We start from the raw sequence: 24,185 nt of genomic DNA, 5'->3' as shown, positions 1-24,185 counted from the left end.
AGGGCAGTGAGACAGAGGAGTCAAGGGTGACGCCAAGCTTGTTGACCTGAACATTAGGAGAGATGCAGCAGACATTACTGAGCTTGGGAGAGGAGGAGGTTTGGTGGAGTAGGGGGATAAACAGGAGTTAACTTAGGGACTTGTAGAGCTTTAGAGGTCCATTAAATGTCTATGCAAAAAATATATAAGTACATATACATACATAGATACATATGGAGATGCATGTGCGTGTGTGAAGCTCAGGAGAGGAGCTGATGCTTGAGCTACAAATTTGGAGATGGTATTTAAAGTCATAAGAGGATGAGATCATCACAGAGTGAGCACAGCTATAAAAGAGCAAGATTAGCACTGAGCCCTGAAACACACTAATAATATTAGTAAGATTTATTCTTTTTTATTATTATTTTTACAGCTAACACTTGGCACTATATGCCAGGCACACAGTGCACTTTACATACGTTATCTTTTTTAATTCTCATAACAGTTATGTGAGAAAGTTATCCCCATTTTACAGATAATAAAATTGAAAAACAGAGGAATTAACCAGCCTGCTCAAGTCACACAGCCAATATGTGGCAAGGCTGGGAAGTGAATCCAGAAAATCTGACTCAAGATGAAGCAGTGAACCCAAGCTTACATAGCAAGTTTGTGACAGAAGATGTCTGACAAGCTTCTCTCTATGCTACGCTGCCTCTGCTGAGTAAGTTCTTTCACTTCCATGCAGAGGCACTCAAAAGTACAGAATCATGCTGGAACAATGGGCACCCAGATATCAAGTTTACAAATTTACAAATTTGATCTCATTGCTTCCTCCAACATGTTGAAGTTTCTGAATCTCTCTTTAGTGTCTCTCTGGTGCTAAGTATAGGGTCTTGCTCACAGGAGCTGCTCCATCACGGAGGACTGAGGACTAAAAGGCCACTGGGGATTAACTATCTCGCTTTGATGGTAGGCAGAGTGAGAAAGGAAGCTATATCCACATGGCTGAGGTTGTAAATCAAGGCTAGGAAGAAACCACCTTCTGGAAGTCACACAAGACAGAGGACTTCCTAGTTATATCTGTGACACATGGACCTGCCTAGGAGAATTAATTACAACTAAAGACATGAACTGGAAGGTAGTCAGCATCCATTCTGGAGGTCTGCTTGGTGCTGATCTCTCTCGGGACATGGCCGTGTCTGCCCCAGTCAGGGCCTCCTCTCAAAGAATGGCATTTTCTTGTGTTTTGTACCTAAGCCGGCAGCACAGATAGCATCACTTTGCCTTTCCACCACTAGCCTTCAGAGATGTGGCGGAACCATAATTGGAACCTTTCAAAGAGCTATTTGGATAAACAAACTGTCAGTTCTCAGTTATAAATAAACTGCTATCAGCCATCTGAAAGAGACAAAATGATAGCAGTGTACCAAAATGCAAAGGGACACGCACCTCAGAACGCCAAGCTATCCAAGACCAGTTGCATAATCTGTAACTCCCACCACCTCCATTTCCCAAATGGATCTGGAGCGTGATGTAAGGAAAATAGCTCAGCCTTTGTGGTCAGACGGGTCTGGGTCTGAATTCTGTCTCTGATGTTCTTTAGTGGTGGCCTTGAGCTGGGTGTTTAATTCCTGAGAGCCTCATCGTCCTCATTTGTAACGTGGGGAAAGGAGGAAATAATTCCTAAATTCATAGGGTTGCTGTGAGAATATGAACAGAACAAACATGGAAGCAACACAGGAACTGGGACATGATGGTACTCAGTAAACAATAGCTCTAGTGGTGACGATGATGGTGACGGTAACAGACACAGGTGGTAATAATAATGCTGATGACAGTGGTGGTGCAAATGTCATCATCCAGCATTTGAGGACTTGTGCTGGGCCCCGGACTCTGTGGGATATAAACTGGAAGTCTCAGAGCTGCTGCTTCAAAAGAGAATAACAGTGAGATTAAACTAAAATGCTTGAAAACCTAACTATTTAACTGTTATTAACAACAATGAGAATATTTAATGTTTATTCAGTGTTTGCTATGTGCCAGGAATGGCCACAAGTAGTTTATATATATTTCATTTAATCCTCACAAAACCCTTTTGAAGAACGAAGGATAATTAGCTCTGTGTCAGATTAGAAACCCAGGACTCACAAAGGTGAAGTTCTGGATAAAAAAGCAATTGCTCCCATCTTCTCTAGTAAAACTGAGAATCGCTGACTCCTACCACTGCATCAAAACACAGAGTGCATTGTACCCTATGGTAACAATGGATCACTGTCAACATCTTCTACACATATCAATTTGCGATTTTTTGGGTACCCCCTTGTTCCTGGCAAGCAATATGCAAGAGAGACTAACTGTAACTGATGAGCCCCTGAAGAATAGTGATTCTGTCTGCCTCTGCAATACATAGCACTGGTTATTTCTTCAATCTTGCTATACTTTAAGAGAAAGAGGCAAATCTTAAATATATTTTTGCTCATAAAATAAATCTTGCAAGGGCGCTGTTCTTTATAATGTCAATAATATTCAATGCTTACAGTAATGGATTAAAATCAGTAGAGAAGGTGCTATTATCCTCATCTGACAAAAAAATAAATGGCACGGAGTGATGCAAGACTGTTCTAAAAGCCTAAACTGATATATTTTATATTCTAACATATGTCATCCCTGCTATTGTCTGAAGAAAAAAAAACATAGCTGAGTACATGTTGAAAATGACTTTTTTTTTATTTTAAAGGTTATTTTAGATGCCGCTATTACTTTTAAATGTAAGCATTAGTGGTTGGTGTTATTTACGGTTTATTCTGATGTGCTCATTTTCAGTGCCATTAAGCTATGTTATTATGATCCAGAATGTGTCATGTTATTAATCCCTCCAGAACAGACATCCTAACTTGTTCACAACCATATTCCCAGAAGACCTAAGGCAGTGCTGGTATGATGGTTGCTCTCAATAAATATTTTTTCTGGAAAAAAGAAAGAAATTGTAAATGTCCGATTTAGGGTCATACAGCTGGGAAAAGCTAAAGCAGGGATTCGAGTCCAGAGCATCTAACTCTAGACCCCAAGCTCATAACCACTGTACTGTATTGCCTGCGTCCCCACCAGATGTACAGTAACTATTCTAAGAGGGAAGAGGTCAGGGTGCTCTGAGATGGTGAATACGTAGGGCTTGTGCTTATGGTTCTTATGAGAAATTCACACAAATTAATAAAAGCATGTTTGAGATGCATATCAGGATTTACGCCAGAGATGGCAAACAAATAAATCAGGGAGATAGTTTGCCAGTCCCACACAGTATATCTAACATTTAAGATTGGGAGGTTTTATTTTACAGATACAGATTTCTTCCTTTTCTTAAAAAGTTGATGATCTAGAAAAACTGGATCATATTCCAGATGACTTTAATGAACTGGATCCACTGTTGCCTGCAGCCCACGCGTGTGTTCTTCAGTTTGCCCAGTTCTCAGAACTCCCTGTTTATTTTTCCTGCAAACTTCACTTGTTTATACACCTTGCCTGGCCCCCGTAGATATTTGAAGGGCAACCTCCTGTGGAGGCTCACGCACAGGACTAGGGCATATTTCAGCTTGTAGTTAGCAAAGCAGAGGTCCTTGATCAGTAGTTGCTACCACTGGAGAAAGTGAGGAGATCCTGGACCTCATGTGGACCAGGCCACCTCCACCCAGGGAAGATCAGTCTGTGGCTGCGTCAGCAGATGTTTTCTCTGAGCAGTTCCACCATCCACCATGAACTCCTGACCATCCATTGCCAGTTCTCCTTCCTGCCTTCCTTGCTAGCTGCTGATCATTAGTTCCTTTCTCTCCATTGTACAGCAAGATTCTTACTCACTTCTCTTACCACCTATTGTTTTCATTGTGGGATTCCTGTTAAAGGTGTTCAAAAAAGTTATTTTTTCTTACTTAAAAATACCTTGTTTTCAACTTCCCACAGTAGTTCCCCAAGTTCATGAGAAAGCACGACCATAGCAAGCCATGAAAATAAATATGAGACCTCCCTTTAAGCCCTTTGTTGAAAACTTAGTGTGAGGCAGTTGTGCATAAAAATAGAAGAAAATATCTTTTCTGTATCATACTTCACAATTTTCAAGGCACAATTACATCTACTATCTAATTTGATCCCCCAAACATACCAGTGAGATGGCAGAGTGGAAGTAAGATGTTTATGTTTCAGAGGAGATTTCACCTCAGAACCAAAGTCCACATTCAAGGATCAATGATCAGTGGACAAGAGAATGCGGGTTAGTGCTTAGCCTGACCCAGAATGAATCACCACAAGTACAATGCAGCTCTCACCTAACCATAGATAGTTTACCACTTTATCAGGGACCTTTGCTCTGGAAGAACTGAAACTGAAGTGCAACTGCTGAGGACCTACTCATTGGACTTCCCTTCCTCACTTCTTACCTCTTTCCTTCCTTCTACAAGTGGCTATTGAGTACCCCTATGTGTCAAGCACTGTGCGAATCCCAGGTGACACCATAATGTCTGACTGTATAATGCCGAGAGAAGGTAGCTCAAACGCTACAATACTGCCACCTTGTACTCACATGGCTCTTTATGATTTTCAAAGCCATTTTGCAGCACCCCTGTGTGCTGAGTGTACAGCCATTTTATAGATAGAATTTAAGCTCAGAAAAGCAAAGTGACATACAGCTAGGAAGCATACAGCTAAGATTCAAACCTGGTCTTAACAATGATCTTTTCATTACTGCTACTACTGGCACCTACCAGTACCTGGCACATAGTAGGTGCTCAAGAAATGTATCCTAAACATAAATTACCATCACACTGCCTCTGAAAATGACTAGAAACATCTAACGTAACATTTCTCCTTCAAGGCCAAGAAAACAGGCCTCTCAGGAATCTTTCACACCTCTTGCTCAGTAAAAGCCAACAATGCCTGAAATTAATCACTATTATTTTCACCTAAAGCCACATATGAAGCTAGAGAGATATAAAACAAACACCTCTGCTGAGGAAGATAACTGCAGATAAAGCTTCTTTCTTACATTCGTTGACATTCTTGTTTGCCCAAGAACAATCAGTTAAGGAGGAAATATTTTTCCCTATCTACCTCAAACCAAATTCCAAACCCAAAGTCCAATATTGGATAGTAAGTAGTAAAGCAAGTTGCTTAACCTTTTCATGCTCCTTTTCCCCAGCTGAGTTTCCAAGCCTAGCATGGCAAGGGTCCAAAGAGTCTCCTCTTCAATTTTTCTTCTATGTTGCAATTTGGTGGGAACAGAGGAGTGCGTGGGGAGCAGTTTGATCGGAAAACTATGGCTTGGTTTGGTTCCAATATCAGTACAGAAACAAGGGGGAGTGACTCAAGAACAAATTCTGTGGTTTGAACCTTCCCCATTGGAAGCCTGGCTGCCCACACTCTTCACTCTGGAATGGCCCAAGAGGATCTGCTGCCTGCTACGGCTCTAATTCTAGCCCACCCCTCCCTGCATAGGGCCTAGCCAGAGTCAGTTCTCCCCTCGGGAAAGGGCAATCTGGATGCTGGCAGGTAACAGAGCTGCCATCTAATCCACCCAATTCACAGCCACCTCATTCCTTCTCTACTACTCGGCCCTCATTGTCCTTACCCTGTCCAACCACATCTCTACTGCTCCCAGAATCAATGCGTACACTGGAGTGATGCTGGAAGTGATAGACAAGAGCATAAATCCTGTAAAACATAGCATATGTGGCCATAGGAGAGTACAGCTTTTAGTGGATATTTAACCCTCTAGCCCACTGTCTTTTCCACTCTTACTCCCACCTGTTTCTCTCTCTCCTGTTTAAATCACCCAGTGTTTCTCAAAATGTAATCTCTGGACCAGCAGCATCAGCATTGTGATGGTTAATACTGAATGTCACTTTGACTGGATTGAAGGATGCAAGTATTGATCCTGGGTGTGTCTACGAAGGTGTTGCCAAAGGAGATTAACATTTGAGTCAGTGGACTGGGGAAGGCAGGCCCACCCTTAATCTGGTAGCACCATCTAATCAGGTGCCAGCGAATATAAAGCAGGCAGAAAAACGTGAAAACAGAGAGACTGGCTTAGACTTCCAGCCTACATTTTTCTCCCATGCTGGATGCTTCCTGCCCTCAAACGTCGGACCCCAAGTTTTTCAGTTTTGGGACTCGGACTTGCTTTCCTTGCTCCTCAGCATGTAGACAGCCTATTGTGGGACCTTGTGATTGTGTAAGTTAATACTATATATATATATATATATATATATATATATATGAGTGTGTGTGTATATATGTATATATGTATATATACGTGACTATATATGAATATATTCATATATATATACGTGAATATATATAAATATATTCATATATATATACGTGAATATATATATTCATATATATATGTGAATATATATATGAATATATTCATATATATACGTGAATATATATATGAATATATTCATATATATGTGAATATATATATATTCACATATATGAATTTGTCAGAAATGCATACTCTCAGACCCCACCCCAGACCCACTGAATCACTCAGGGTGGGGCCCAGCCTTCTGTGTTTTAGCCAGCCCTCTATGTGACTCTGATGCACACTCAAGACTGTGAACCACTGGTTTAAACAATTTCTCCCTTCCACTGGGTATTATTCTTCTAGATCTCCTTACTGGTATCTATCTTCTCATACTTATATAAATGGACAAATATTTTGTAATCACACTAATAGAGTCTGCAAACTATAATCTTCCATATGAGGTGAGAAGAAATGTCAGCCTCTGAAAATTCAGCTAAAAGTAGCCAGTAAGGTGTCATGAGTTCAGAGAACATGAACTCTGATATCAGATGGCTCTGGGTTCAAGTTCATCAAATGTTCAAATCCACCACCTGCTGGCTGTGGGATCTTAGGCTAATTATTCACCTTCTGGACATTGCCCATAAAGCATAGATAAAGACATCCGTGTTATAGGGTTGTTATGAAGATTAAGTGAAGTAGCACATGGGAAGTGCTTGTGACATACAGTAGCCGCTCAGGAAACATACTCATCTTCCTCCTCACCCCACCTCCAGTAAAATTACAATAAAAATATACTCAGCTGCACATTGATGTTCTTCCTTAACTCTCCCAAGTCTTTATCAAGGAAATAGGAGATCTCCTGAGGCCAATCAAAAGACCAAATTATCTCTCTGCCTGTTGTCCAAGCAAGGTGGCCAGCTTTTATGCTCGGGATTAGAACATGACCAATATAAATGGGAAAACCTAGTCCTTTTATTTTATCTAATCTAATGATGACTGGTTTTGGAAGAAGAGGGAAATGAGCATGAAATCTAGTGAATGGGGATTTTGTGTTTAAGAATTTTTATTCATCCAAAACTATCCAAAAGAAAGAAAGTGTGACAGATACTTTATCACATGAACTGACTTATTTTTGCTTCTAAGAAGGAGTAGGCCTGGTGCAGTGGCTCACGCTTGTAATCTCAGCACTTTGGGATGCCAAGGCGGACAGATCACCAAGTCAGGAGATCGAGACCATCCTGGCTAACACGGTGAAACCCCATCTCTACTAAAAAATACAAAAAATTAGCCAGGCATGGTGGCACATGCCTGTAGTCCCAGCTACTGAGGAGGCAGAGGCAGAAGAATCACTTGAATTCAGGAGGTGGAGGTTGCAGTGAGCGGAGGTCGCACCACTGCACTCCAGCCTGGGTGACAGAACAAGACTCTCTCTCAAAGAAAAAAAAAGAAAGAAGAAAAAGAAAAGAAGGAGCAAAGGAGTTCAAAGATTTTCCATAGTCTGGACAAAACAGCACTTAAAAATATCCCATTCCCTTTGTGCTGAATCTATACTAATAATTTAACAGTTATTGACTGCTTACTACATGCCTGATCCTAAGCTATTAAATGATACATATGCATTTGTGCACTGAATCCTCAGAAGTAATTACTATCACCCCCTCTCCCAATGTAAAGATGAGAAAACTGAGATTTAGAAGCTAAAGGTAACTTGCCTAAAATCACCAAGACCTAGACTCTGAGGTCCTAGTGCAGAGTCTGCGCTCTGAACCACTAAACCTCCAATTACTAATTCAGTTTTTCAGGTAGCTCTATACAAGAGAGTGGCTCTCCTGAGTAGTAGAAACCAATATTCTACCCATTGGAAAGTTTTGTGACCCCACTACCAATCAGTCAGTCAGCATTCTGATTTATAAATCTGTCGCCTGTTAATTTCTTTATAAGTTAGTTCCTGGTAGCCTGATAAACTCAGGGACAGCTGATTGAATGAAGCTTTATAAGCTGCAAAGGTGAGGCTTAGGTTCTGTCCTGAGCTTACACAACCAAGGAATTGCCTACCCAAGCAGGCCCGCTGGAGGCAGCTAGCCAGCCAGCCAGCCAGTTGTCTTCTTTCATACCACTGTAAATGATTCAATCACAGCTCACATAATACAGACAATTCAGAGAAAAATGTAGGATGATTATGTTGGAAGAAGCAGGAATCTAGGAGCTTTAAGGATATAGTAGAGGTGAATGCAGCCAGAAATTCTAAGTTAATGATGGCAAGTAGGTTTCATTTTATGTGACAAATCTAATCAATTGGTGGTAGTGAATGCCTAGGGCTCTACATTGAGAAGGATTCTGATGCCACTTCTGGGCTATACAGTAGAGAATGCCACGATTAATTGGCAGTGTCTGCCATGATCACAGGCAGGCATGGGGGCCCATATGTCATATATTTACCATATATGTGCTGGAGAATGTCATAATTAGCAGTGTCTGCCATGATCACAGGAGGATCATGTCATATATTTACTATCTCTTAAGTGTTAGAATCTCAGTTGATATTGATCATTATATTGAATGTAGCATCCAATTACATTTGAGTAGAAAATAATGTGTTTTCAAAAATATTTACCAATCATAAATTGTATGAAATCACTGCACTATGGGCTGATTCCTGCTGATGCACATGCAAACTTGTAATTACTTTCTCAGTACTTCTATCCTTTGAAACTAGTGTCCACCTCAGTATGGTAAAAAGAAAAAGAAAAAAATTATTTCAGTGTAGGAACTTTGGGAGTTTATCTCAAACCTAAATTTTTTTGTGAACAGAAGAAGGTGTTGCTTTGGGGACATGGATCTGTGTATCCAACATCACAAAATCGTAAGTTAAACTTTTTTTTTTTTTGAGACGAAGTTTTGCTGTGTCACCCAGGCTGAAGTACAATGCACGATCTCGGCTCACTGAAACCTCTGTCTCCTGAGTTCAAGCAATTCTCTTGCCTCAGCCTCCCAAGTAGCTGAGATTACAGGCGTGCACCACCACACCTGGCTAATTTTTGTACTTTTAGTAGAGACAGGGTTTCACCATGTTGGTCAGGCTGGTCTCAAACTCCTGACCTCAAGTGATCTACCTGCCTCAGCCTCCCAAAGTGCTAGGATTACAGGCATAAGCCACTTTGCCTGGCCCACAAGTTAAATATTTTAAAGGGGTAAAAAGCACAGTTTTTTTTTAATTAAAATCCCAAGAGGACCCCCACATATATGGTCACCAAATTTCTGACAATAGTGTTATTACTCTGCAATAGGGAAAGTAGATATTTATAACAAACAGTGTCAAGTCTATTGAATTCCCATATGAGAAAAAAAAAGAAGGAAAAAAGAGTACTGAACCCACCTCACACGATTTATAAAAATCAACTTCAGATATGAAAAGAAAAACAATAATCTTTCAAACGATAACATAGGAAAATACTTTCATCACTTCAGTATAAGCAATATTTTCTTAAATAAGACATTAAAAGTACCAACCACAAGAAAAAGATTGATGAATTGAACTATATTAAAATTTAAAACTTCTGCTCATCAAAAAATGTTATCAAGAGAATGAAAAGACAACCTGCAGTGTGGGAAAAGATATTTGCATACAAATATCTATATATTCTGTGTTTCCAGAACATATTTACATTTTAAATTCACCTAAATCAGTCAGATAATCCAATAAAAAAAATGGGCAAAAATATTTGAGCAGCTAGTTCACAAAAGAGGATATGAAACTGGCCAATATAAGAGCTCAACATCTTACTCATCAGAGAAATGCAAATGAAAAGTACAATGAGATAATGCAATGCACCCACCACACCAGAACTGCTAAATTTTTTAAAAGGAACTTGTAATCACAAGTGTTGATGAGAATGTATAGTGACTGGAACTCTCATATACTGCTGTGATGTAAATTGGTACAATGTTGAAACTGTTTGGCATTACCTACTAAAACTAATGCATATGGACATTATGATGTAGCCACTTTCACTCTTAAATATATAAATAACAGGAAGGTATATATACATGCACCAAAAAACATATGCAAGAATGTTCATAGCAGCATTATTTGTAATAGCAAAAGTCTGGGAACAGCACAAATATTCATCAACAATAAAACAGACAAATATATTATGGAATATTTATACAATGCAATATTATATACAGCAACAAGAAGAAATGTCTGCTCCACACAGCAACATGGATGAATCTCACAAGCATATGGTTGAGTAAGTATAATAAAAGAAGCCAGACACCAAAGAGTGCATACTATATCATCTGCATCATTCCATTTATAGAAACTCAAGACCAAAATTTATTGTAATAGAAGTCAAAAGAGCAGTTTTCTTTGGGTGAGATAGGAATTCATCTGGGTTGCTGAAAATGTTCTATCTCCTTATTTGGATGGTGGTTAGGACACTGATTTCATTTAAAGAATTGATCTGTCATGACAGAGGTCAGAAAAGTGGGAATAGTGTATGTGAATGGAGCATAAGTGGACTTCTGTGAGCTGCTGATGCTGCGCATCTTGATGTGGGTGTGGTTACATGGCACTCACTCTATACACGTTCTTCAAGCTACTCGCTTATGGCTTCTGCCGATTTCAGTGTGAATTTTTTATTTCTAAAAAGCTTTTACTTTTTTTTTAAAAAAAAAAGTACTGTGTACTGCATTTGAGGGAGAAATGGCACTAAATATCCTAAATAATATGGACTGATCATCTATCTTAACTGGAGATAACAAGAATAGAAAACATTTATTGAGTATGTAATACGCATCAAGCACTGTGCTAAGCACTTCACATGGAAGCTGTCATTTAATGCCCCTGTTTCCCATGAAGACTGGTCCTACTACGATCCACATTTTACAGATAAAGGATCTGAGGCTTTGCTAGCTCAAGGGACTTGCCTGAACTCAAACAGCTAGTAAGTAGAAGAGCTGGGACTCCAGCCCTGGTAGTCTGTCAAATACAAAAATGGACTTCAAATAATGTTTCTTATAAAAGGAAAAAAAGAAAAAGATGGGCATGTGCGTCCCTGCTTTCTGGCTGTATATGTGCTTAGAAAGCTGCCCACTGTCTGCCTGCCCAGTGGGTTCACCCTCAGCTGCTCAGGCCCAACAGAAACATACTATGAATTGGCTTTTCCTTCACATGTCGTCAGCCTCTGGGACTGAGGAGAGGCGGGTTTGTTTGCTTTGGATCTCAGGGAAATACTATGGCCAGCACTCACTGGATTTCCTGTAACTGGAAAAGAGTGATGTAATGATATTCGACGAGGGTGGAAGACAGGCCTCACCATGAGCCATGTGTGAAACCACCCTGTGTTATGCCAGGCCTCAGACAGGCTCTCAGCCCATTCTACCATGCATTAACAGGACACACACCCCTTCACACCCCCTCTTCAAGGCCCCTTGAGACTCCTCTCTTCTAAGAACTCCATGATGGAAAATACTAACATTTGGTTCATTCCAGAGTGCTGCCTTTCACCAAGAGCTTAGAGTTGCTTATCAACTAGATACATTTCCCTGGTCTGAGTTGGGAGGTAAGATGGGGCACTTTGCCTGGAGAAGTTCTGAAGAGATTTTTCGGAAACCTCATGATGAGTGACTGACTTCTGTTATTTCTTCAAGTCTATAAATAAACCCAAGTAAACCCAGCAGGTAATGAGGTTCTGGGACTCAGAGAAGAGTTCTAGCATTTGCTGATCAGGATCTTCTTCCTAAGCACGTGGAGAAGTAGGAGGGAGACTCAGGAACGGAGCCTTCCGCTCCCCGCAGAAAGGTAAGCATGGTGTTTGAGCAGTAGGAGGAGATCTGACAACAAAGGAAACCAGGAGCTCCACTGTCAGTTACAGTCCCGCTGAACAATTCAGTTCCCTTCGTCCCCCTGCAATCCAGAGTAATTCTGTGGGTTTCTATTCTTCCCACCAAGAAGTCCTCAAGTGCCTAATGGAAGTCTTACAAATATTCCTAGAAAAATCACCAAGATCCACAGATTCTCCTCAGCCAGAAATTTTCCATTGGGCTCCTCTGCATTTACACTACATTGATCCATTCTCATCATTTATCCACTCGTCCATGTTTTATCAGTTCATTTATGGGTTCACACTGTCATTCATTGAACAAATGTTTCTTGTGTACCGACTATTTATTTGGGGAAATCAGCTGTGAAGTAGAGACATTCTTCTTCTCTTTCCTAAGTCACATAGTTAAGTGTTCCTTATTCAACTTTTACATATAATTATACATCTAGATAGCATTTATTGAGTGCCTAGTGGACACTGTTCAAACCATTTTATATGTATTACCCATCCTCACAATACTCCAGGAATATTTCTATTTTATAGGTGAAGAAACTGAGGCAGAGAAGCTAAAAGTAATTTCCCTTAGGCTCCATAGCTAATAAGTTACACAGCTGGGATTTAAGCCAGGAAGTCTTATTCCACAGTCCATGCTCTTAAACCAGTTAATATGTCTATATAGAGAAATAGGGGGAAAATCCTGGAAGGCTATAATCAAATGTCAACCAAAGTTATGTTGTTATTTGGAGGTAGAGAGAGGGTAGAATGACTAGTGATCTTTATTCTTTCTTCTTGCTATATATTCTATTTTACGATCAGAAAAAGTTGATGAAGCTATAAAAGCGGTTAAAGAGCAGGTCTGTAGGAGTGAGGCTATTCAGGGGTAAATGATGGGGGATGAGCTTACATTCAGTTCAAGGTCTCACAGATAAGGACATCGTTCCCTGGAGAAGTACCACCTGAAAAGGAGATGCATCTTGGCTCCAAGATTTGTTCAGTTCCTCTTCTCAGCCTGTAAGCCTTTTTAGTGACATTGCCTGGTATTTACTAATAGGAAGATTCTAAAACAGGTAGGATTTTTAGTGACCGTGCCGGCCGCCTGAGAACAATGTGTGCTCAGGGAACAAACATGTTGCATAATCACCAGCCCAGAGAAGGTTAACTGCATAAAAATACCTGCTTCAGAGCAAGGCTTGGTGTCAGCTCAGTCACTACGACAGGTTACCAGTGACCCAGGCTGCAGATGCCTTCTTGCCCCAACCATCACCCTGCTGTGAAGTAAACAATTATGTTATTTTCATTTCAGTGACATTCTCATTCCCATGTCAGTAAGTTTGTTTATTTACAGCAATAATGATGAGTGCTGATTCATTTGCTCAAAGGGAAAAACATCTAATTAAACATTTATTTTGTTTCAGGTATTATGCCCTTTGGTTCACTTAATCACCAAAGCAAATGTATGATATAAAATATGACCATCCCCACTTCATATAGGAGAAAACTAAAGCTTGGGGAGGTCACATAACTCATCAAATAACAGTTTTCTAAGAGATGGTATGATAATCAAACTAACCTTTTTAAAAATTATCTATTTGAGTATAAATAGAAAAAAATGCCATAAAACAAAATGCAACTCATGCATTGCAGATGTTGAAAATGAAGGTGTTAAGGAGGACACCCATTCCTTTGAGAGTTCATTTGCTTTTCATGAAGTAGGCCTAATACCTTCTTTGTTTACTTAATGATATTTTAAAACCAAGATACTACCTTCAATGGCTGAACATGATTAGGTTATGTTTGGAGGTTGCATATTATTCTAAGTGCAATAGGAAGCCATAGAAAGGATTTCAGCAGAGATTGACCTGGTCTGATTTGTGTTTGAAGTTCATACTGGGTGCTGAGGGAATAATGGATTGAATGTCTGTCTTCCCAATTAGACAGTAGGCATTGTTCTTATTTGTTACTTATTTGCTTATACCTGTCTGTGCCCATTCAAATGTCAGCTCCATGGGAGTAGGAAGCTTGTCTATTTTTTTCACTATTGTGTCAATAGTCGCTGAAACAGTGTTTGGCCCAGAGCAGGCCCTCAATAAATATTTGTTGAATGAATAAGTGAATGAATTAATAAAACAACAAATGAATGTGGTAATCACATAAATGAACATGTAAAGGGTAGTGCTTTGAAAAAAGCATAGAGTGCCATGAAAACATATAAGAGGGGACTTTGGGGACTGGGAGGGGTGATAAATGTTGTAGTTTGGTGGTAAGGGTAAAGAGAGGTGGATTCAAGATCTGTTTATGACATAAAATTAATAGGACTTGCTGATGTACTAGTTATGAAGGCTGGGGGCCTGCATTAGATATAAAGGTAAGTTTCATTCCCTCAGCCCTCCAAACTGAACATCTGATTCAATTCAGTTCCATTTGAGATGAGTGAGTGTTTTCCAAGTTGTTTATTAGTTATCTGTACAGAAAAGCTGCAGAATAGCAAGCATGATTTTCCAAATAGCGAGATTCTCTCACTGAAAATGGGAAGATAAAAGGAGTTATTTTTATAGTATCTATGGGAATCAGTTGGTAGCAATCTCTCTGTGATGCTTTCTTCAACACTCCCTCCCTTCAGCTCCTGATATTTCTATAAGGTTTCCATGGCTAGGTTTCCATGACACCACAACAGTCAGTTTGGTCCATTCAGTCAAAAACCTAATTGGTCAGAAAAAAAAAAAAGCCTTTTCCTGCACCTAAATGAATGCAGCCTTTCTCCACCCACCAACACACCTACACATACCCACTGACTCCACCCCATCCCACACACACACATTCACCATTGCTTCTAACACAGAGCTAGGCACACAGATATTTACAGCTATCTGTGACTTCCCTACTTGGGTTAAGATAACTTTCATATGGCAGAGAGTTTTGTGGACCATCTGATTAGTATTTGTAAAGAGCTATTTTGAAGTTAAGTGTTCTTCCAGTCTGGACTCTGAAAGTGACTCTCTTGAGATTACTTGCTAAAGGCAGACGCTATTGTTTTATAACTTACAAAAAATATTCCTTTCATCATCCTCAAAGACCAACTGATATTTCATTATCCTCATTTCAAAAGCTATAGAAGAAAAGATTATTTTCATACATGCCTATGAAACACATGTTTTCCTTTTCCCTTGAACCCCCTTGTTCAGGATTTGTTGGCTAGCCAGCCCTCCTGAGCTTGGCCTGCGATGGGTTTTATTTGAGATTTCCATTTCTTTGACATGAATGTTTTGGCTAAACTCACAGAGGGCTCATTCACAAGTTGTGGAAAGTCTTCACTCTCTACATCCAAGGCATGCCCTCTGTGGCACAGTGGGCTATTGAATCCCTGCCATGGTGACTGGTAGATGCATGTCTCTGTCAACATTTTCAAGTCATAAAGCTATGATGACTAAATAAACAGCATGTGGACTCCATCATCTCAGGCTTCCTATGCAGAGCATGCTGGCTTTGCTTGGGTGGGTTCATCTGTAGATGGTAGGCAATTCTTATGAAAACGATGGAGAGGGTGTGGTATCTTCTCAGGCCAAATGCTTCTGCAAAGTGGTAGACACATAAGATACACCGTAATCATCAAAATTCTTTGGGAGTCAAATAATAGGGTAAGCAGCCTCTCTTACACCAAAGTTACTGTTCTGGGGGTCCCAGAAATGTCCACATTAATTACCATTGTTATAACTCAATGTGCAAAGTATCCAGCTTCTATTGATTGTTCCCATTTGTCTCCAGTGTGTGAGTTTCTAGTAGCTCTATAAATACAATGAAAGCCTAAACCAGGCACTGTCAAGTAGTACAGCCTTATGGACCCAGCTGGGAATTCTGTACTTTCCTGATGTCTGCAAGGTGGTCATATACGTGTAATTGTCTCAGTTTCATAAAGAGCTCAATGAAGGGACCATGAAAATAAATGTGTTTCATTTTATTAAATCTCTTTGGGAGTTTTTCTGGCATGGTTGTATACAGGACCCTGAATACGAATATGGGACAGTTTTATTATACTACTGTTTAAAATATAACACAGTTCCCCAGTGTCTTTTGGACATGTGTTTCCTTTTTGTTCATTTTGTGTATAATGTATGTTACGGATGGGAGAAGGGAGTGTATTTGATCATGTTTCTTCAAAGTTGTATTTCTTGCTCTGGCTTCCAATGTCCTGCATGTTTTGGGTCCTGTTTTTTCTGGTTTCATTCTTAATCACTTGACCCTCTCTCTCTGCAGTTCATCTACCTGTCATTTTTTTTCAATCCTTGACACATTCATCTTCCCTCCCACCCCAGAGCCTTCATACATATAGTTCTGAGTGTTGGACAACTCACACCACACACACACAAACATACTCACAAACCCCACACACTCATCAAGCACAAATCCTCTCCTACCCAGCACTACTAGTCATCCTTCAGATCTCCACACAAGCACCACATGTGCAGGGAAGCCTACCCTGACCCTCCCACGTTAAATCAGGTATCTGGTCTTACATATTCTCATAGAACTTATTCTTTTCCATTAGAGCACTTGACTCCATTGGTAATTATTAATATATAATCATTTGGGTAGTTTTTAATTAATGGCATTATTTACCATAGATTTTTTACACCCTATAAGAAGAGAGACTGGATCTGTTTTTGCTCACCATCATCTCCTCAGCTTGGCACATAGAATCTGGCACATAACTGGCTTGCAATTAAAATTGAGTGAGAAAATGGATGGATGCATGCATGCATGAATTAATAAACATGAGTGTATGTGTGTATGCATGTCTGTGTGTGTCTTTCAGGGAATGAGAATGTTACTAATGTAACTTGCAGAGGGAATTTTTCTGTTCTCTTTAATTCAGGCTATTCTATTAAACAGGAAGTAGAAATGACAGTATTCTTCATATGAATCAACTTCTTTGCTAATTCTGCTTAAGAAATCAGCATTCATTCAGTCACATAAACACCATGAATGATTCATGTGCCTTTGGTTACCATTCAAGGAAAAATCTATTTATATGACTTACAAATATCATATAAATACTGTGTCTTGTTAACTATGCGTCTGTGTTCCTTTCAACTTAATCACAGAAATAGCAATTACTCCTCTCTAACACCATTAACAATCTCCTAATGTGCCAGAGATAAATTACTCAACAAATAAATGTTTAAATACATCAGCAGTGACCTATTGGGTATTATGTTACACACCCAGCAGCAGTTGCCTTCTTCATTTTCCTCTTCCTGCTCCACCTCCACACCGTGGAGTAGCCTGTGGAATTTGAGACCACTCCAAATAGATAGGATGAAGAGTACAAATACGTATGCTGAAGCTTAAAGATAAATGCTGTGGGAAGGCCTTGTCACCCACTACTGACTGGTACAATACAGCTGAGAATGCATTTTTGATCATGTACCAGATAATTAAAATAGTTGCAGAATGGAGAAAGGTTGATAAAAGGCACATGGGGAATCAGAGAGCTTAAAATAGTCAAGATTGCATACCAAGGCCAGATTTGAGTTCTAGCTCTCAGTGGTTCCTGCCCATTCAATGGTGGCTTAGGGAGAAATGGTCAAAACATAATTCTGCTAGTACAGTTATATTTATAATACAGAAACCAAGGCCTTTTAGAATTACCTTATACTTTGGATTCCAAGTATGTGTTCTAGTCTTGGCTACAGGGTCCAACAATCCATGGAATCATGGAAAATATATCTTGTAGTTCACAAACAGTACCGTCTTACAGGACATATTGTCTAAGCACTGCAGTGTTGAGTTCTAGGACAATAGGCATCAAATGTTCATAATATAGTCCTGCATCATAGCTTCCTTTTTAAAAAAAAAAATCTGTCAAGCTGAGAATAACTAATTTTTTAGAGCCTGGATTTGCCATCATAGAAATTATTCTCCTAAATTTGCTATTTGAGGTATTTTTCTAAATAAAAGTAATACTTCCTTTTTGAAGTATGTATTTATATCTGCATATAGATATATAGGCATCTATATAAATATGTAGATAATGACAGCAACATTAAATAGTATAGATATTTATAAATTAAGAAAATTAAGGCTGGGCATGGTGGCTCACATCTGTAGTCCCAGCACTTTGGGAGGCCAAGAGGGGCGGATCACGAGGTCAGGAGTTCGAGACCAGCCTGACCAACATGGTGACACCCCGTCTCCACTAAAAATACAAAAAATTAGCCAAGTGTGGTGGTGTGTGCCTGTAGTCCCAGCTACTCAGGAGGCTGAAGCAGGAGAACCACTTGAACCCGGGAGGTGGAGGTTACAGTGAGCTGAGATCGCGCAACTGCACTCCAGCCTGGGTGACAGAGAGAGACTCAGTCTTGAAAAAAATTAAAATCTCTCATTTTCCTCCTTTTCCTGCTGCATGTTATTTTCCATTCCACAGAGATATCCAGTGTCAACAGTTTGGTATACTTTTATTTTTTATTTTTTTTTTTTTTTGAGACGGAGTCTCGCTCTGTCGCCCAGGCTGGAGTGCAGTGGCGGGATCTCCGCTCACTGCAAGCTCCACCTCCCGGGTTCACGCCATTCTCCTGCCTCAGCCTCCCGAGTAGCTGGGACTACAGGCGCCCGCCACTACGCCCGGCTAATTTTTTGTATTTTTAGTAGAGACGGGGTTTCACCGTTTTAGCCGGGATGGTCTCGATCTCCTGACCTCGTGATCCGCCCGCCTCGGCCTCCCAAAGTGCTGGGATTACAGGCGTGAGCCACCGCGCCCGGCCATACTTTTATTTTTACATAAATAGGATCCTACCATATTTTCCATTCTGCAACCTATTATATTTTTCTTTAAGATATATTTTAAATGTACCATAGAAGGAGGCTTGGTAAAAGATACGTAGGATTATTGTATTATTTTTTAACATCTAGTGAGTACACAAATATTTTAAAATAAAAGGTGTTTTAAAAGCAATAAACTTTTCACTTAAAAAAATCATTGTTTATTGTACAATGAAATACTGAACGTTACACTACTTCACTCTGTTGAATGGGTTACTGACATTCCATTGTTAAGTTATATGATAATTATTTTAGCAAGCCTCCTTTTGATGGACACTTAGATTGTTTTTCAGCTTTTCAATATTGCTATCATGATGCAATGGACAACCTTGCACTTTGCCTCCAGTTGTGATGCAATTTGACAGGCCAATCTCCTAACCTGTTGCAATAATGTTTATGTTTGAGGCACATATATAGACTTTACAATCTCAAGTAGTTGTGCAAGAAAGTCTTAGTACTAGAATATTTGCATTTGTGTAAGAAACATTTAGTCAGAGTAGACATAAGCAAATGCCTGAAAGGTTTGTGTCTACTCCTCCAAAGTTGCTCAGCTTTTCAAACAAGCCCTCTCCAGCGGGATGCGTGTGTTCACCAGATCCTTCCCATGTGCTCAGAAAAGAGTCTGTAGGAGGCCTGTATGACTGAGTGACCTTCAGCCTTGACACAGTCAAACGAACAAAACCATCCGCAAATTCAAGAAAGAGCAGAGAAGGAGCTTCCCCAAGTTGGTTGAAAACATAAGGAAAGAAGTCTGAATTTGGCACCTCTCCCTGTGTGACAACCAATGACAGGCTTCATCAGAATTCAATGTTTCATCCCTGGGATGAGGCCAGACTTGTTTTGAATGTTAATATTTGTCATCATAGCACTTATCCATTTTGATATTTATTAATGTAACAAATTTAGGAGCCCTTACTTTGCACAGGGCATTATGATATAAGTATTGGGATATAAAGATAAACAAGGCACTCTCTGCACCCCACAAAAAACTCCGAGACTGTCTAGATTAGTAGTCTTGGGTTCTTTTACAGCCATGGACCCCTTTAAGAATCTGATGAAACCTGAGGAACTAGAAAAATATGCATCTGCATATATACCCAAAACTTTACAAATGATCTCAGCTAGAATCCTAACCTTGGAAGCCAACTATTAATCCATGGACTCCTTGGTCTATTGGAAGTGCAAGATGGGAAACTGGAAAATTTAGAGATCATCCAGATGAAACATCAGCTGTAAGAATGCAGCCATACCCTACAGCACTTCTCATTTTGTAAAGTACTTTCTCATATCAACATCCTCCTGCGGTAAACCTACTCCATTTTTGTCAGATGAGGCAATATTCTCAGAGAGATGGTATGACTAGCCAAAGGCCACTCAGCTAGAAGTTGGCAGGACTCTGACCAGAATTCAAGTCTATGACATGTACTCTGCTTTGCCAAATGGAGTAGGTGACTAATATGAAATGCCATGAACAAGATTAAAAAAAATCTTAGTGTCCATGATACGGAGATAAAAATTCTGACCAGTCATAGCTTTGCATATGGGCATATTTAAGTTTTAGAAGTCCCTCACCTCCCATACATATGTGTTTACACACTTAGCTCCCCCAGTTAAATTATGTGTTCCTTGAAGACAGGGACTATAGCTAGTTTATTCCCATTTCCTCTGTGCCTAGCAAAATGCCTGGCACATAGTCAGTCCTCATTGTTTATTGAGTGAATGAAAGGTCATTATACAAAGGAAGAGATTAGAGAGATTCGTTTATGCTAAATGTGTTTCTCAGTTCATATTCCACCTTCGAAAACTATCTTTAGGACATGAGAAGTGTCATCAGTTCATTGACATATTACTCATTGTTTCAACTGCATTTTTTGTTCTCCCTCTCCCCGGCTTTTATTAACTATTTGTAATATTTCATGAATAAAACCAACCTGGGTTGAGTCTAGTTTAAACACTTAATACTAAGCTGTCGTTCTCTTCACATAATAAAAATAGTTTCCACGTTATATGCCAAAATAGAAGAAACCTTAAACGATAATTTATTGAAATTAGTTGCAACGTTTAGGGTTTTTTGGGTTTTTTGGTTTAGTTGAAAGCTTATTGAAAAAAAAAGTAGGAGAAAAAAACAAACTGTATCTTACCACCCAACCCAAGCCAAATGACAACTTTAGAAAGTAATGTGATTGCTAAAGCAATAAATGAATGGTTTAACGCCTCTTGGGTCTTGGAAACTGTACCCACCCTTGCCAGGAAGGAGTGAGGGAATAAGTCTGTATTTCATTTGATGGCACTAAACTCCTTGAGGGCAGGATCTATTTCTGATCGACCTTTGTATTTAAGAAAAGTGTCTGGACATAGTGGGTGCTCAGTAAATTGTTATTAAATTAAATTGGATTTTTACAAAATTTACACATATCTGTAACATATGTTTATACGTGTATACATAGTATATAAATATCCTTTGTAGGCAGACATCTTTAAAGGACAAGCTGTGCCCATAGTCTTACAATACACCAAATGTTAAAAGCCCATCATGCTCATTTGTGCATGACCACAGCTAGAGTCAGTTGTGTTACAGAATTCCATCTAGTAAGTGCCTATTGTGATTAAAGTCTCCCCGTATAGTACGAATTTTGTATAATACTGTCTCAAACAGTTCCTAAATAAATAGATAACACAGTCCACTGCTGTATATAGCTTATATATACTTTTAACCTCAAACCAGTACTAGAAACAGCATGCCCAGCCTCAGCCAGTAAGTTCTCTATACCACACAGCCTTCTCAGCCAAGAAGTGCCCCACTGAGTCCCACTGAGCTGCATGTGCTTCTACATTGTGGGTTGTTACCTCACATGAATGGCTTCCTCCTGCCACTCATTTAAGCCTCTGTGGACAATTCTGACCCACAATGGCTGACAAAGACGGCAGATGGTAGAGCTGGACTTACCACAAAGAAGCAACAGGATGATACTAACATACCAGTTTTAGTTAAAACACAATGCTAAAATACCATATTTATGAAGGCTCAGTGTGTTTTCAAGGAAATGGTTGAGAAATTGAGGACTAAGGTCAGCAGGTAATTGGGGATTTAGGAAATTTATGCAGTAATATCAAGACGATAGAAAACATCACTAGAACCTAGGAGGATGACCTACAGTTGGCCATGAACAGGCAACTATGGCTCAAGCTAAATCAGGAATCAGAGGAATTAAAGGAAGTGAGAGAGCAATTGTTAAAGCACAGACCCAAAAACGTATTTGAACAACTCTTTATTGAGCCAGTTCAGTTAAAACTTAGGAGCACCTAATCATTTCAGGAACAACCAAGTCACCCAGGAGAAGGTCCCCTTCTACTTTCTTATCTAAATTACCTGAACACTTGGGGCCATTGTAACACTTAACACATAATAATTACACCTTCTCTAAAATCACCTCCCCTCATCTGGGAAGTGAATCCTGAGGGCTCTGAGGAAGGGGACCAGGCCAACTCCACATCTTCCCTCCTTGTGTTCTCTGGACCCACTGGGCTGGACTAAAATGTGGTCACTGTCCACCAGCACCTAATTTAGCACACTGGCACTTAATAAATATTTAGCACCATCAACGGTACTTGCAGGAAACATCTTGGAAATGAATTGTCTCGTTTTTAAGCAGCTGCTTGGGAATTGTGCATTTTGCAAAAAAACTGAATTGACTTGTTAATAAAAATAAATGATTCCATGTGTTACAGGATATTCTTTTAGCATTAGTTTCAAAGCCACATGTCCCAGAAAACAGCTCCCTTAATAAAAGGGAATAACTCATTTTTGTATTAAAATGATAATGATGCATTCAACAAATATTTGAGTACTTACTATATGTTCAGTACTGCTGTAAGCAATAGGAATGCAGCAGTGAACAAGGCAGGCAAGCTTTAATGGTGTGATTAAATACATAAATAAACAGATATATAGTATGTTACGTGCTATGAAGAAAAAGAGAAGAGAGAGTGATGAGGGATGTAATTTTACAAAGGGTAAAAGATATCTCAGAAAAGGTGACACTCAAGTAAGAGACCAAAATGGAATGGCAGTGTAAGGCGTATGAATATTTGGAGACAGTTCCAGATAGAGAGGAGGGTAGCACAAAGTGCCAGAGGCATCAGCAGGCATGTGTGGCCATAGTCAAGGAACAGCAAGGAAGCCAGTATATTTAAATCAGTGAGAAAGAAAGGAAGAGAAGATGAGGTTGGAGAGGTAGCAGAAGTCAGATTTTGCCAGACTTTGCAGGCCATGAGTAGGACTTTGGATATCATGCTAAGTGTGATGGAAAGTTACTGGAGGCTTTTGAGTAAGGCATGATCCGATGAAACTTTGGGTTAAACAATCCCAAACAACATTAAAACCATCTGAGTAAAGACTTCTGTTTTGAGTCAAAAGTAGACTAGATATTTAGAGAACCCCTTTCTGATACAGCATGCCTAAAAGTGTTGCACGTACATGCAACTGTGTGCACACACACAAATATGCACACCCACAAATACACACACACACATATGTATGTTGAGCTGGCACAAATGTAGGGAATTCTCTGGAGGCCAAAAATATAATTCCATAGAGGTTAGTAAGCACTAGAGTAGCATTTGCAATAGCATAATTTGCCAATTTCTGGTGACTTTGAATCTAAATTTTAAAAGCCCTTTCTTCTGAGAGATAGGAGGTAAATCCTGAAATCTAAGCAGACAGAGTAAGACACCAGATCAGAGACTATTCATGAAGTCATAGAACTCAGAGATCACACCTCACTGTTCCAAAAAAAAAAAAAAAAAACCATCCTACAGAGGGAGCTTATGGAAATAAATGCCTGCTTGGATTAAGGGTTTAGGTGGTGTATTAAAAAAGGAGAGAGAGTGTCTTTCTGAGAATTCCTAAGGTATATAGTACTGCAAACACAGTTTGGGGGTGATAATTTATAAAATCTTTGTGGCAAGAAAAAGAAGGAGGAAGAGGAGGGGTAAGGGAGGGTAAGGAAATTTAAAATAATATGGGGTCAGGAGTTCCCCCAAATCTGCTTCTGCCAACACAAATCCTCTTGGAAAAAAAATTTATTTCAAACACAAGCCTCAAAAACATCTCACAGATGTCTTTGCAAAAAAAAATGAATTCACCATCAAAAATAAACACTTGAAGTAAACCACCATGAGCAAGAGATGGTCAAAACTACAAACTATAGAATCAGACCAATAAGTCTACTTACATTCAAAATATCTTACAAAACATAAAAAGCCTTGAA

General features: G+C 39.5%; 2 long non-coding RNA genes across 3 annotated transcripts in view; both read right to left on the bottom strand.

The window, feature by feature from the left end:
* LOC105378209 (uncharacterized) overlaps window positions 1-13,360 on the bottom strand; it is a 37,122-nt gene extending 23,762 nt beyond the window's left edge. The window contains exon 1 of the long non-coding RNA XR_944375.1: window positions 13,273-13,360. This is a non-coding gene — a long non-coding RNA (uncharacterized LOC105378209). The remainder of the gene's footprint in view (window positions 1-13,272) is intronic.
* Window positions 13,361-14,530: 1,170 nt separating this feature from the next.
* LOC105378208 (uncharacterized) overlaps window positions 14,531-24,185 on the bottom strand; it is a 28,809-nt gene continuing 19,154 nt past the window's right edge. Inside the window, exon 5 of one of the 2 annotated variants that reach the window (XR_944373.4) lies at window positions 14,531-15,668. This is a non-coding gene — a long non-coding RNA (uncharacterized LOC105378208). The remainder of the gene's footprint in view (window positions 15,669-24,185) is intronic. The other variant, XR_944374.4, reaches the window with a different exon arrangement.

The sequence above is a fragment of the Homo sapiens genome, chromosome 5, assembly GCF_000001405.40.
Source record: "Homo sapiens chromosome 5, GRCh38.p14 Primary Assembly".
NCBI classification, from domain to species: domain Eukaryota; kingdom Metazoa; phylum Chordata; class Mammalia; order Primates; family Hominidae; genus Homo; species Homo sapiens.
The sequence above is the reverse complement of the archived record's forward strand: the minus strand, read 5'-3'. Positions and strand labels throughout refer to the sequence as shown.